Source organism: Homo sapiens, chromosome 12 (genome assembly GCF_000001405.40).
Source record: "Homo sapiens chromosome 12, GRCh38.p14 Primary Assembly".
Taxonomy (NCBI): Eukaryota; Metazoa; Chordata; class Mammalia; order Primates; family Hominidae; genus Homo; species Homo sapiens.
In genome coordinates, this window is record NC_000012.12 from 128,776,405 (window position 1) to 128,791,142 (window position 14,738).

At 49.2% G+C, this 14,738-nt stretch overlaps 2 annotated features.

Annotated features, from left to right (window-relative positions):
- Positions 10,418-10,918: an enhancer, noted in NCBI's record as "H3K4me1 hESC enhancer chr12:129271367-129271867 (GRCh37/hg19 assembly coordinates)". NCBI's record gives its function as "activates a minimal SCP1, AML or CMV promoter by ChIP-STARR-seq in naive H9 embryonic stem cells {active_cell/tissue: H9 hESC(naive)}" and the evidence as "EXISTENCE:reporter gene assay evidence [ECO:0000049][PMID:30033119]".
- Positions 13,212-13,311: an enhancer, noted in NCBI's record as "active region_7328". NCBI's record gives its function as "activates an Ori minimal core promoter by ATAC-STARR-seq in GM12878 lymphoblastoid cells {active_cell/tissue: GM12878}" and the evidence as "EXISTENCE:reporter gene assay evidence [ECO:0000049][PMID:35858748]".

Genomic DNA, 14,738 nt, shown 5'->3' on the forward strand with positions numbered 1-14,738 from the left:
GTTTGTGTACACATGCTGTGTGTGGTGTGTGTGTGTGCATGCCTGTGTGAGTTTGTGTGTGTACAAATGTGTGTAAGCATATGCATGCATGTGTATACACACGAAGAGGTGGTTGCCAGGTTGCGCCACTGGCAGGTCCTATACTCGCTGCAGAATCGGGAGACGAAAGGGGGGTCTTTGTACAGGCTCCAGCAGCTGGCATTGGAGGGGCTGTGGACTGACCTCAGCCGCCCCACTCCAGGGTCAGTGAGGATCCCCTCTTCCTGAGGCCCTGAAAAGTCCCCCAGGAGACAGCTGAGCGGGCCTTGATATGTGGACCCGCTAACCCAGCTTGGCTGGAAGGAGGCTGCCAGTCTTCATTCTTATAACCTCTGGAATGAGGACTCAGACAGCACCCCACCCTCCACCACAGCCCTAACCATTGGAGACTGGAAGCTGAATGAAGCCTGATTCCAGTCTCCACACAGGTGGGATGCACGCCACCATCATTGGGAAATGATTTACAGCTGCACATTTGTGGCATGAAATAACATCCACCCAGATAATGAGAAAGCTTCTTTTCAATCCTGTTTTGGAAATCAAGTCTCACTCAGGTACACGTATAGTTTAACACCTCCTCAACACTGGCTAATTTCTCTTTAAAATTTTTTAACTGATACCTAATAATTATGCATGTTTATGGAATACACGGGATCTTTTAATACATGCAGACAATGTGCAGTGATTAAATCAGGGTATTTAGGATCTCCATCATCATTTCTTTGTGTTGGAAACATTTCAAATCTTCTCTTTTAGCTATTTTGAAATAGGCAGGCAACTGAGTTTAGCTGTTTTCATGGTATTTAATGTTACAATTATTTTTCATCTTTGGTATGTTTCTCTTTGTTATTATTGTTATTTTTGAGACAGAGTCTCACTGTCACCCAGGCTGGAGTGCAGTGGTGTGATCTTGGCTCACTGCAACCTCCGCCTCCCAGGCTCAAGCGATTCTCTTGCCTCAGCCTCCCAAGTAGCTGGGACTACAGGTGTGTGCCACCATGCCTGGCTGATTTTTGTATTTTTAGTAGAGACGGGGTTTCACCATGTTGGCCAGGCTGGTCTCAAACTCCTGACCTCAGGTGATCCACCTACCTCAGCCTCCTAAAGTGCTGGGACTACAGGCGTGAGCCACTGCGCCAGCCAATAATAGTGTTTTCTGTAGTAAAAATGGGATGACAGATTTTAGGTGCTTTTTACACTCAAAAACAGGTAACTATTTGAGATAATGGGTATGTTAATACGCTTGACAGTAGTAATCAAAACATCATGTTGTATGCCTTAAATGTATACTTTTAAAATGAATAAAAATGATATATAAAGTGAAAAAAAGAAGAAACAAGAAGAAACATGGTCTTCAGAGCAGACTCTCTTGGGTCAAATTCCTGCTCTCCTGCTTCCCACATGAGCAATGCAGGCAAGGGGCTGTATATCTCCATGCATGTTACCTTGTCTGTGTAAATGAGAATAGTCGTGTCTGCCTGCAGAACAGATTGAATTTCTGTGGTATTGAGCCATGAAGCTGGCAGTACTTTGTTAGGGAAGCCCCAGTAAACTCATACTTGCAGACATAGCAACAATTATAGTGGCACGGATGGGTCTGATTCAGAAACGCTGCATTCCAGGTGGTCCCTGGGTCCCCTTTCTTGTACCACCTCTTTGCATGGTCCCCTCTGATGACCCAGCTCACACCCCACTGTCTGAGGGTCTGAGGCTTGTGCCCCACATCAGCTTGTGACTATCTCTGGGCAGGATCTGGTCAGTCCTCCATTCAAAAGCCACCATCAAACCAACCCTCTGGCAAAGTGGTCCTGCCTGAAATTCATGTCTAGGTGAAACTGACTGGCGTGAACCATTCCCTGGATCAGAGACCACCTATGGGTGTTGAGATAAAGCAATGTGGGCAGGGTTGTGTGTTAAGTTGGTAAACTACTCCCCAGAGTGCTGGGAGCTTGGCTGTTGAGGGCTGTGGACTTGGAGGAAGGCCTGAGATCCAGACAAAAGTCCAAATAGGTAAAATTGGTGGATTAGTCTGTTCTCACGCTGCCAATAAAGACATACCCGAGACTGGCTAATTTATAAAGGAAAGGAGGTTTAATGGACTCACAGTTCCACATGGCTGGGGAGGCCTCACAATCACGGCAGAAGGTGAAGGAGGAGCAAAGGCACATCTTTCATGGTGGCAGGCAAGAGTGTGTGCAGGGGAACTGCCCTTTATAAAACCATCAGATCTCGTGAGACTTATTCACTACCACGAGAACAGCATGGGAAACACCTGCCCCCATGACTCAATTACCTCCCACAGAGTCCCTCCCATGACATGTGGGAATTATGGGAGCTACAATTCAAGATGAGATTTGGTTGGGGTCACAGCCAAACCATGTCAATGGGTAACACAATATGTAACAGACATCTGTTAATTTGTTTAAGTTTCCTTCCTGTTACTTTGGAAACACTATTCCAAGGCAGGGTGCAATGGCTCACACCTGTGATCCTAGCACTTTGGGAGGCTGAGGCGAGACAATTGCTTGAGTCCAGGAGTTCGAAGACAGCCTTGACAATATAGCGAGACCCCATTTCCACAAAAATAAGAATAAAAATTAAAAAATTAGCTGGGCATGGTGATGCATGCCTGTAGTGCCAGCAACTCTGGAGGCTGAAGTGGGAGGATTGCTTGCACCTGAGAGGTTGAGGTTACAGTGAGCCACGATTGCACCACTGCACTCCAGCCTGGGCAACAGAGCAAGACCCCATTCCTAGAAACAAAAAAAAACTGTATCCCAGAATTTCCTCAGGGAGCCACAGTCCCCCAGTCTTTATCCATGTGGTTTGGGACAGCCGGTCCTGATCTGCTTTCCAGGGCTGTGGTGTGAACCAGTCCTGGCCAGTGGGAGGTTTGCACATTCCTGGCTGTGGTGATGAGCATGTGTCTGTAACCTTTCCAGTCAGAACCAACGAGATCAATTCTGAGACTCTTATTGGAACTTGTGGGAAGGAGAAACCTGATTTTCACAGGGGTCAATGTTGGTAGAATAAAAGCATGGAGTTCCTGGATCAGAAGCTCTTGCAGCCTTGCAGAATAAATTGAGAGTGAAGTCAACACAGATAAAACCATACCCAAAAGATGGGAAGAGACAGAGTGCTGGTACCATGATGTGAGCTGCTGGATCCACCCATACCTGAAATCCACATGTAGGCTTTCATTTACTTGCACCAATTAGTTTCCTATCATGCTTAAGCCAGACTGTGTTGGATTTCTGATGCTTCTAACCTTATATAGAAATCTATCTCTCCAGTACTGATGAACCTTTATAGGGTTACATGCAACAGCAGACAGACTTTCTTTTTACTTCAGGCAAGGTTAGACCACATAAAGTCTCTGTGTCTTGGATGAACTTCTCTCAACAAGATAAGAGCCATCTGAACTAATGAGTAAGGGAAGTAATGGCTTTACTTAATTGGAGTGATATAAATTGCTGTAATGTGAATTGTCTGCACAAGACAGAAATTCATGGAGGTGTTCTGTTCTAACCTGTGACCTACCATTATAAAGGTTCTGAAGTGAAGGGTCTATTCTCCCCTGATGCTGGACTTTTCAAAGCACAGCAATTTTGTTTCATTTTGAAAGGCCATAGTGAAGCCAGCAGCTTACTCAGCACTTTCTGCCAACTATTAACTTCTCTCACATCAATGGCCAGACACTCAGACCCTGCCCAGCCCAGGTAGGTGATGCCAATGCACTAACCAGCCAGGGAGAGGGTATAGGTGTGCCTCTTCTGAGCCACCAGAACTGCAGCAATTCAGAAGAGATGCCCCTTCCAAAGGAGACAGCCTAGGGCCTAGAATCCAATCTTGACCAATTTTCTGATGTCTTTGGAAGTCTGGATTTTCTTTCTTTTCTTTTTCTTTTTTTTTTCCTTTTTGAGACAGAGTCTCACTCTATCACCCAGGCTGGAGTGCAGTGGCATAATCTCAGCTCATGGCAACCTCTGCCTCCTGGGCTCAAGTGATTCTCGTGCCTAAGCCTCTTGAGTAGCTGGAATTATAGGCGCCCACCACTATGCCCGGTTAATTTTTGTAATTTTAGTAGAGATGGGGTTTCACCATGTTGGCCAGGCTGGTCTCGAACTCCCAATCTTAGGTGATCCACTCGCCTTGGCCTCCCAAAGTGCAGAGATTACAGGTGTGAGCCCACCACACCTGGCCAGAAGTCTGGATTTTCTAAAGTAAAAAAATCCCCTGATTCTTTCTCCAGTGTGTTTAGTGGTTTGAATGGTGTTCCCCCAAAATTCATGCTCACTCAGATCTTCAGAATGTGGTCTCATTCCCAAACAGGGCCTTTGCAGGTGTCATGAAGAATGAAGATGAGGGCCGGGCACGGTGGCTCACACCTGTAATCCCAGCACTTTGGGAGGCCGAGGCGGGCGGATCACCTGAGGTCAGGAGTTCAAGACCATCCTGGCCAACTTGGTGAAAACCCCTCTACTAAAAATGCAAAAATTAGCCGGGCGTGGTGGCGGGTGCCTGTAATCCCAGCTACTCGGGAGGCTGAGGTAGGAGAATCGCTTGAACACAGGAGACGGAGGTTGCAGTAAGCCAAGATGGCACCACTGCACTCCAGCCTGGGCAACAGATCAAGACTCCATCTCAAAGAAAAAAATAAAAATAAAAAACAAAAAGAGAATGGAGATGAGATCATTTGTAATTGAGTGGACCCTAAATCCAACGACAAGTGTCCTTTTAAGAGACAGGAAAGGACACAGACACAGAGAGGAGGCCAAGTGAAGACAGAGGCAGAGATGGGAGCGATGCCGCCACAAGCCAAGGGACGCTGGCAGCCACCAGGAGATGGAAGAGGCATAGAGCCTCTGGAGGAAGCCAGACCTGCCAATACTGTGATTTCAGATTTCTGGCCTCCAGAACAGGGAGCATAAATTCCAGTTGGGTAAGCCACGAAGTCAGTGGAAATCTGGTCCTGCAGCAGCCCTAGCGAGGACACCGAGCTATTAGTTCAACTGAAGAAAATAATCTCCAAGCTGAGCAGAGTGTCCCCAAATGCCACACACGGCCGGCGAGTGCCTGTTGGTGATCTCGGCCTCCTGTAGCCTCAGGATCTGACCCGCCCCAACCTGGTCCAAGGCTCAGGATGAAAATCTCCTCCAGCACAGCAAGCAGCTTTGGAAACGCCGGCTCCTGGAACTCACAGGGGCCAACACTAGTCCCTGGAAGAACCGGGTGAATGAGGGGAGGGTGTCTGGATCCAACGCTCTGGGAAGTGCCCCATTGGCGGTTCCCAGACCATTTCTGTCTTGGGAAAAATTCCAGCGTGTGTGCAAGGCGTCTGTCCAGGTCAGCGCCTCTGAGTTGGCCGTCTCTGTTCGGGTCTTCCCATGCGAGGAGTGCCCTCAGTTCACCTAGATGACTTTCCAGAACTCACCTCTGACTCCACAGTGGGGATGCCTGGAAACCTGCTCAGCACTGGCCCTTGGATAACCCGGGAGCTGGCAGCTATGCTCAAGGAATCATGCTCGTGGAGGGAGGATGAGACCAATGGATAGCTTCCCCCGCCTACCCTGTCTTGTGCCCAAGCAGACAGCTCTGAGATGCATTTGAAAAGGCTCCTCCAAAGGACCCAGGGAGTCCGGCCCCAGGCACCCAGGGTGGCCACCAGCTCCGGAACTTCTCTTTCTCCTACTCTCCTTTCTCCCCGGTTTCACTCCCTGTTCCTCACTCCTGCTCCTGAGGCCGCATCTCAGGCTGTCTTCCAGGGAAGCCCAGGCTTGAGGCATGTTCATTCTCTCAAAGTGCGGGAGCAAATCTGCAAGGGCGTATGTCCCCGTACATGACAGACGACTGGTGTGTTCAAAAATCGTATTGACTTTGAACCTAAGAGGTTTTGGAAAAACAACTTGAGTGACCAGGTTCCATACGAACATTCTGGCAAAAGCTAACGGTATTCTTCTCTGCACAATTTCGTTGTTGGAGGCATTCAAGAAAATTTCTTTGCAGTTTTTGAAAATAGCCTGTAGTTCTATGTTTCGGCCACTAGATAGCAGGCTGAATAAGAAATGCTGGACATCTAATGGGAATCTCACCAACTGCTTGACGGAAGGTGGGGGCTATCCTTAAAAAATGGTTTGCTGGGAGGCGGATCACCTGAGGTTGGGAGTTTGAGACCAGCCTGGCCAACATGGCAAATTCCCCTCTTTACTAAAAATACAAAAATTAGCCGGGTGTGGTGGCAGGCGCCTCTAATCCCAGCTACTCGGGAGGCTGAGGCAGGAGAATCGCTTGAACCCGGGAGGCAGAGGTTGCAGTGAGCTGAGATCGCGCCACTGCACTCCAGCCTGGGCGAGAGTGAGACTCTGTCTCAAAAAAAAAAAAAAAAAAGTGGTTTGCCACTGGGCACGGTGGTTCATGCCTGTAATCCCAGCGCTTTGGGAGGCTGAGGCAGGCAGATCTCTGGAGGTCAGGAGTTCAAGACCAGCCTGACCAACATGGTGAAACCTGGTCTCTACTAAAAATACAAAAATTAGCTGTGCATGGTGGCACACGCCTGTAATCCCAGCTACTTGGGAGGCTGAGGCAGGAGAATTGTTTGAACCCGGGAGGCGGAGGTTGCAGTGAGCCAAGACCATGACACTGCACTCCAGCCTGGGTGACAGAGCAAGATTCCACCTCAAAAAAAAAAAAAAAAAAAAAAAAAAAGAAAGTGGTTTGCTCCGGAGTCCTGCTCTGTGTGGAGTTACTCACCGCCTCTACACGTCAGCCCTGCCTCCCCCATCTCCCTCCCAGACCTTCTTTCTGTTCACTGCATGCATCAAGCTTTCTCCTGACTTTGGGCTTTTCCCTTAGTTCTCCTGGCCTGAAACTCTGTCCTTCGATATTAGCAAGCTGGCTCCTGGTCCCTCGGCGTCCCTGGACAAGCCAACCTAAGGCAGACCCCCTCCTCCATCTTCATCATGCATCACATCATCTTCTATTGCTTCTTCAAAACGCTTTCACTTTCTGATATGTGACTGTTTGATGACACGTTTATTCTCTGTCTCTTGCATGAAAATGTGGGCTCCAGGAAAGCTGAGTTCCTGTTTAGTTCACTGCTGTGTCCCTGTCTAAAATGGAGCTACAGCATAAATATACAGGTGGCTGAGGGATATTTGTTGAGTGACTGAATGATGGGAGTGAATGAATGAACGACCTCTGATGCACAATGATAACCAGGCTGAATCTTCTTCTCTGACTCTCCTTTTTTTTGAGATAGAGTCTTTCTCTGTGGCCAAGGCTGCAGTGCAGAGGCACGATCTCTGCTCACTGCAACCTCCACTTCCCCGGTTCAAGTAATTCTCGTGCTTCGGCCTCCCGAGTAGCTTGGCTTACAGGTGCTCACCACCATGTCTGGCTAATTTTTTTTTTCCTCTTTTTGAGAGGGAGTCTTGCTCTGTCACCCAGGCTAGAGTGCGCTGGTGTGATCTTGGCTCACTGCAACCTCCGCCTCCTGGGTTCAAGTGATTCTCCTGCCTCAGCGGAGACTTGAGAATCTCCTGAGTAGCTTGGCTTACAGGTACTCACCATCACGCCTGGCTAATTTTTGTGTTTTTTTAGTAGAGACGGGACTTTGCCCTGTTGGCCAGGTTGGCCTTGAACTCGTGACCTCAAGTGATCCGCCTGCCTCACCCTCCCAAAGTGCTGGGATTACAGGTGTGAGCCTCTGTGCCCGGCCTCTCTGACTCTCTTGGCATTGCTTCCGATGTTATTATGATTCATTGTGAATGAGTCGATTTGAACTCAGCATGGTGTCCAGAACATTAGAAAAATGCTGACCTGTGTGGTTTGCTTTATGTCTTTGAAATATCTGAGCCCTAAAGAGCAGTAAGCGGGAAGTCCTTTGGGTATACCGGGCTTGGTTTGGGTTAAAGATTTTAAATGCTGAGCATAAATCCACCCTGAAGCTTCTCTGATGCTCCCTGAACTGTGTCCATTCCTTCCCTCTAGAAAAGACAAATGACTTACATAGAAGTGAAGTTGTAAATTCTGGCTCATTTAGGTGGCTTTGGATAAGTCACCCATTTACATTTCAGAGTAGCCAGAGATTGTGCTGCGCGTGGGGGAGTGCCAGGGATGTTACAGTCTGAAATAGACAAGTCCAAGGGCTGAGAAACGGAGTGACCACGTGCAGCAGGGCCTGGCAGGAGAGGTGGGGGCGGCTGAGTCTGAAAGGGCAGAAACAGTCCTGCCTGTGTTCACTGTTGCAGCCTTTTTTTCATCATGGAGTTTTTTGCATTAATTTTGAGTTTTTAAAATATTGAGTTAAATATTTTTTATCCTGGCTACCAAGATTTTTGGCACTCCATTCAACTTCATGCCCCATCTCAGCCCTGGGGCATAGGATAGCTTCACCATGCTGCCTACGGGGGAGCTGGGGTAGGGAACCAGTCCCTGGTTTCCCCAAATTCAAAAGACCCAGGAGAGAATGCTGAACTACCTTAGGGCTGTGAGATGATCACTTACTTCTGTAGCTTCAAAAACATGACGAAGCACGTGAGTGCGGCCTGGAAGTTTTACTACATTCAAACCAATATCCTCCATTCATTTCCTATTGCTGCTTCAACGAAGTATCGAAAACCTGGTGGCCTAAAACAGCACAGATGTATTATTCTTCAGTTCTGGAGGTCAGAGTCTGAAATGGGACTCACTGGTCACTCCAGACACTGTGCCTGGTAAAATTCCTATGTGACAGCCCAGTCACCAGGGTGATGGTATCAGGAGGTGGGGCTTTGGGAGGCAATCAGGCCTGGAGGGTGGCACCCTCGTGATGGGGTTAGTGCCCTTATGAGAAGGGATAGGAAGGAGAGGATCTCTGCCTCACGTGAGGACACAGCATGAAACAGGCAGTGGGCAAATCAGGAGGGGCCTCACCAGCCATCCAATCAGCCAGTGCCTTGACCTTGGACGCCGCAGCCCCCAGGACTCTGAAGAATCTATTCCTGTTGTTGAAGCCGTCCCAATAATATTCTGGTCATAGCAGCCCGAACGAATTAACACACTGGCTAAAATCAAGCGTGCTGACAGAGCCGTGTTCCCCCTGCAGGTTCCAGGGGGAGAACCTATTTCCCGGCCTCTTCCAGCTTCCAGAGGCGCCCAAACCCCTGAGGCGCTCAAGCCCCTGAGCTTGTGGCCCCTCCCTCCTCCAGAGCACGTCACTCCCACCTGGATCTTGTCCTCCCATCTTCTGATTCTGACCTCCTGCCTCCGTCTTTCACTCATAATGAGCCTTGTGACCTTGGGGCCCACCTGGCTAGTCCAGGACAATCTGCTCATCTCCACAGCATCAACATAATCGCACAAGAAAGATGCCCTCTGTCATGTGAGGTGACAATCACAGGTTCCGGGATCAGGGCAGGACACCTTGGGTTGGGGGCGGGGGTGGTAATTATTCAGCCCACAGCAAAGCTGGTCTGAATCCTAACCCAAAGTTAATTAAAATGGAAAAAATTCAAGAGATCTATTGCATAACACAGCTATAGTTAATAGCAAGGTATTATGTTCTTGAAATTGATGAGAGGTCTCAAGTGTTATTAATCACAAGTAAAATATGTGCAGTAATGCACGTTAATTAGCTCGATGTAACCATTCCACCATGTATACGTTTCCGAATGTGTGGTACACAATAAATATTAATATATACAATTTGTGTCAATTTAGTAAGTTTTTTTAATGGAGAACAAGCTCATGATCTAATGCCTGCTCCCAACACTAACTCACTTTAAGAGGCTGCCTTGGGTGAAGGACCCTGTGAGGCGCTTGCTTAGGGCAGGGCTCCTGGCACTGGCCAGCAGGTCATTTTAAATGAGGGGCTCCTGGCTGGGCACGGTGGCTCACACCTGTAATCCCAGCACTTTGGGAGGCCGAGGTGGGCAGATCACTTGAGGCCATGAGTTCAAGACCAGCCTGGACAACATGACAAAACCCTGTCTCCACTAAAAATATGAAAATTAGCCAGGCGTGGTGGCAGGTGCCTGTAATCCCAGCTACTTCGGAGGCTGAGGCACAAGAATCGCTTGACCCCGGGAGGCGGAGGTTGCAGTGAACTGAGATTTTGCCCCTGCACTCCAGCCTGGGTGACAGAGCGAGACTCCGTCTCAAAAAATAATAAAATAAAATAAATACATGAGGGGCTCTCAGTGGGTGACAAATCCGCCAAATTGAATGCTGACAGCATCATCAGGGGATCCCGGAGGCTGCTGGCAAAAAACGCCAGAGGCGAGTCCTCCTGGCCCAGGGAGACTGCTCCAGCTTGGAGAGGGGGCACAGCTGGCTCCTGGAGCAGGTGTTTTCACTTTGGTCACCATCCACACTGGTGGTCAAATGCTGCAAAGTGCCTGAGCAGGATCAGGCATCTACAAATGGGCGCCCCTCCCCAGCCCACCAACCTCATAATCCCTCCAAGAAACCTATGTGGAGGGGACGATTTCCTGGCCTGGGCATGGGGAGGTGCGAGGGCCCAGGGGTGGGGCTCAGTGGTTGGTGCTGGGCAGGAGTGGTCCTGGGCACCAGCCCTCAAGGGTCCACCTGCTCACGAGGCAAGTTGTGCCCATCCCACGCACACTCACTCCCTCGTCCCATCTCACGGCGTCTTCCCGCCTACTGTAGGTTTCTGTGTAGAAGGCCATGCCCCTCCAGAAAGGACTCTCGGTCCAAATCCTGTGGCCCATCCCTGAGTGACAGCTCCGAGTGCCTCTTTCCCATTTCCCTGATGGATGTGAAATTGCAGTGTGAGCATGAAAAGCAGCTCTCCAGAAGAGCTTCTGCCCGGCGGAGATGGGATTCCAGTTTGAGTGGCGTAATGAAGTGCTCCTTCATCAGCCTTAACACGCAGAGCACAGGTTTAACTTCTGGTGGGTATAAATGGGCTATTGCGGTTTTTCTGACTTCAGGAACATACGACTTTTGTGTTCAGGATGTAGAAAAATTAAAGTCCTAGACCAAAAAATGAAAAGGAAATAAGGTGGCCCGCTGGGGCTTGTTTTCTCTGCTCGGGGAGTTTGGATGACTTCAGAGCGGGGAGGGCTCTTTTCTTAATTCAGTTCTCTAAAGTTGGTAATTTTGTTCATGTCCGTATCTGTACCCATGAAGTAAATTTGTGCAGTAATATAAAGAATAAAATTTCATGTCTAGATCTGTAGGAAAGAAGTTTAATTTTATAAGCTATTAGCACTGCCGGTCCTGGAGGGAGCAGTTTTAGCATTCTTACCAGCTTTGTGAGGAAGGCATTGTTGATTGACGATGAGCTTCTCCTGTGACAACATGCCAGGGCTTCACGCAGGTGGCTTCAACACCCTGGAATTTGGCTGCCAGGCAGCAAAGTTTGGTTTCTGTGCCACTGGAGCAGGCAGGATGACAGCCCCTAAGGAGGTCCCAATTCCCTTCCTCCAAGGACACCAGTCACATTGGATTTAGGCCCCACATGAATCCAGTGTGGCCCCATCTTAACTTGATTCCATCTGCAAAGACACTTTGTCCAAATGAGGTCACAGGTTCTGGATGGACATGAAGGCTGGGGCTATTATTAGTCAGCCCAGTACAGCAGCCATCTACTTCTCTGATGCTGAGAGGTGGCTATGTCACAGGAGGGCTGGCTCCCATGGCCTCGAACATTCATGCTGGGTTGGGCCTGCCTGGCCCTAAGTCCTGCAGAGCCGTGTGGATGCATGGCTTTTTCCACTCCCTCTTTTTCTCCTCCAAGTTCACAGCCCCCTCTGTTTACCCCTTAGGCTTTGCTAACAGTGAGGACCTGGAGGCTTCTTTCTCCCTGAATGGCATCCTCTTGCCAGGCTCAGGATCCTGCTGTGTGTAAGGGCCAGTAAAAGCATCTGCACCATTTACACCTCACTTTTGACTCACTAAATCCAAACCCCAGCCTTCACCAAACACAGAGAGCTAGGTCAGGAATCCAGCCCTTTCCCACAAAAATAATAGTCACATGGCTGGGTGTGGTGGCTCTCGCCTCTAATCCCAGCACTTGGGGAGGCCGAGGCGAGTGGATCACTTGAGGTCAGGAGTTCGAGACCAGCCTGGCCAACGTGGTGAAACCCCATCTCTACTAAATTCCTGACCAGGTGCAGTGGCTCATGCCTGTATTCCCAGTGTTTTGGGAGGGTGAGGCGGGAGTATCACTTGAGGCCAGGAATTTGAACCAGCCTGGGCAACATAGTGAGACCGTGACTCTACAAAATATAAAATAAAAAAGTAATTGGGTGTAATGTGTGTCTGTAGTCCCAGCTACTCTGGAGGCTGATGTGGGAAGATTGCTTGATCCCAGGAGGTTAAGGCTGCAGCCAGCCATGATTGCACCACTGCACTCCGGCCTGGGAAACAGAGAGAGACCCTGTCTCAAAAAAAAAAAAAAAAAAAAAGCCGGGCGTGGTGGCTCATGCCTGTAATCCCAGCACACTGGGAGGCTGAGGTGGGCAGATCACCTGAGGTCGGGAGTTGAGGACCAGCCTGACCAACATGGAGAAACCCCGTCTCTACTAAAAATACAAAATTAGCTGGGGTGGTGGCGCATGCCTCTAATCCCAGCTACTCGGGAGGCTGAGGCAGGAGAATTGCTTGAACCCAGGAGGCGGAGGTTGCGGTGAGCCAAGATCTCACCATCGCACTCCAGCCTGGGCAACAAGAGCGAAACTCCGTCTCAAAAAAAAAAAAAAAAGGCCGGGTGCAGTGGCTCACACCTGTAATCCCAACACTTTGGGAGGCCGAGGTGGGCAGATCGCCTGAGGTCAGGAGTTTGAGACCAGCCTGACCAACATGATGAAACCCCATCTCTACTAAAAATACAAAAATTAGCTGAGCCTGGTGGCGGGCACTTGTAATCCCAGCTACTAGGGAGGCTGAGGCAGGAGAATAGCTTGAACCCGGGAGGCAGAGGTTGCACTGAGCCAAGATCGTGCCACTTCACTCCAGCCTGGGCGACAGAGTGAGACTCCATCTCAAAAAAAAAAAAAAGTCACTTTACTCCGATGCCAGACTTTCAGGAAGAAGCTTATTTTCACTTCTCCATTCTTAAAAGTGGAAACCTCCCTTGCCCTGCATTCCTCTTTTCTGTGAGTCCCTTGAGGGCGTCTCCTCTCTCCTCCAGCTGTCTGCAACCTGTCAGGACCCCACACAGAGCTCAGCTTGCCGGCAGGAGCCTGTGACACGTGGACCACCCCATCCTCTGGAAACACTCCCTTCACTTGGCTTCCAAGACACCTCCTTAGCCTGGGAACCTCAGGTCCCTACTCCATCAACATCCAGGCCCTCACCGAGCACCCGCAGGTGACTCCAAATGCATCCTTCCCAACCCCAATCACTGCAATCAGACGTGCAGAGCCGCTTTTGGACAGCTGTCTGGAGAAGTCCTTTAGGCTTGAAAGAAGGGATTCGTGATTGACTTGAGAGTTCCAGAAAAGGATTAATATACCAATACAGTTTTTATTTATTTATTTTTTGAGACGGAGTCTCCCTCTGTCACCTAGGTTGGAGTGCAGTGGCGCGATCTGGGTTCACTGCAATCTCCGCCTCGCAGGTTCAAGTGATTTTCCTGCCTCAGCCTCCTGAGTAGCTGGGGTTACAGGCATGCACCACCACGCCCGGCTAATTTTTTGTATTTTTAATAGAGACGGGGTTTCACCATGTTGGCCAGGCTGGTCCCAAACTCCTGACCTCCAGCAATCTGCCCTGACAGCAGCTCTGATTAAGCAACAGGGAGATGCTAGGGATGGGTAAGGGGAGTTATGCAATGGACCTGCCCAACTTCAACTCCCACCATCAAAGCCCTAGAGGTCAAGGGGCTCATCCTGCGTTTCTGGGAAATGCCGTGCTACCTGTCGGCCTCCTCAACTCCCTATGCGTTCTGTGGCTGAATTTTGATGTCACTAGAGACACAGCCCGGCACAGAGACCAGAACACAGGTTTCTGTGCCGTCCTCACCACTGGGAGGCTGTGACCAGGCCTAGTCCCTGAACGTCTGGGGGTGTCTGCTCATCTCGTCTCAAGACACGTCTCTCACGATGCATTGGTTTGGGATTCGGTCAAACAGAGAAAAAACAAGGTCCCTGGCACTGGGCTGGCTTCCTCTCCATGCAGCCCTTTGACAACCTGAGCATGCTTAGCTCATTTGGAAACCAGCAAATGCTGAGTTTTCTTGTTACTATCCAGCTTTCCATCATTCGGCTGCTTTTTCTTTCACCCTTTACATTCTGTACTTTTCATTTGCTTAATAGATTCTAGTCCAACAAATCACTTTGTAGGCATTATCTCCTTTAAAAGGCCCTATTTCCAAAAGAAGAACATGTGAGAATGAACATTTAAAAATAGTTACTCAAGTGACTTCATTGTTTGAGAATCCCCATTAACATATGTGGCCCGTGTTAATAACAGTGTGTATCACTCTGCGGCACACAGCAGTTTCACATTATTGCAGCATTCCGCTCCTGCTTAATGTGCTTTTTTTTCCAGGTGATGGGATTTTGCACCAAGTGAAATAATTGGTAATATTGAGGATCATCCATTTTTTATTACCTAGAATTCAGAAGTGATCAGGACGGGCCTGGTGTGACTCTGAGATGATGGGCTGTTGGGAAGTGTGATGTGATGTGGTACTGTGCGCTCTCCAATCCTCCGGGAAGCAGCATCTCGGCCCCTGGGGGTGGGGGGCACGA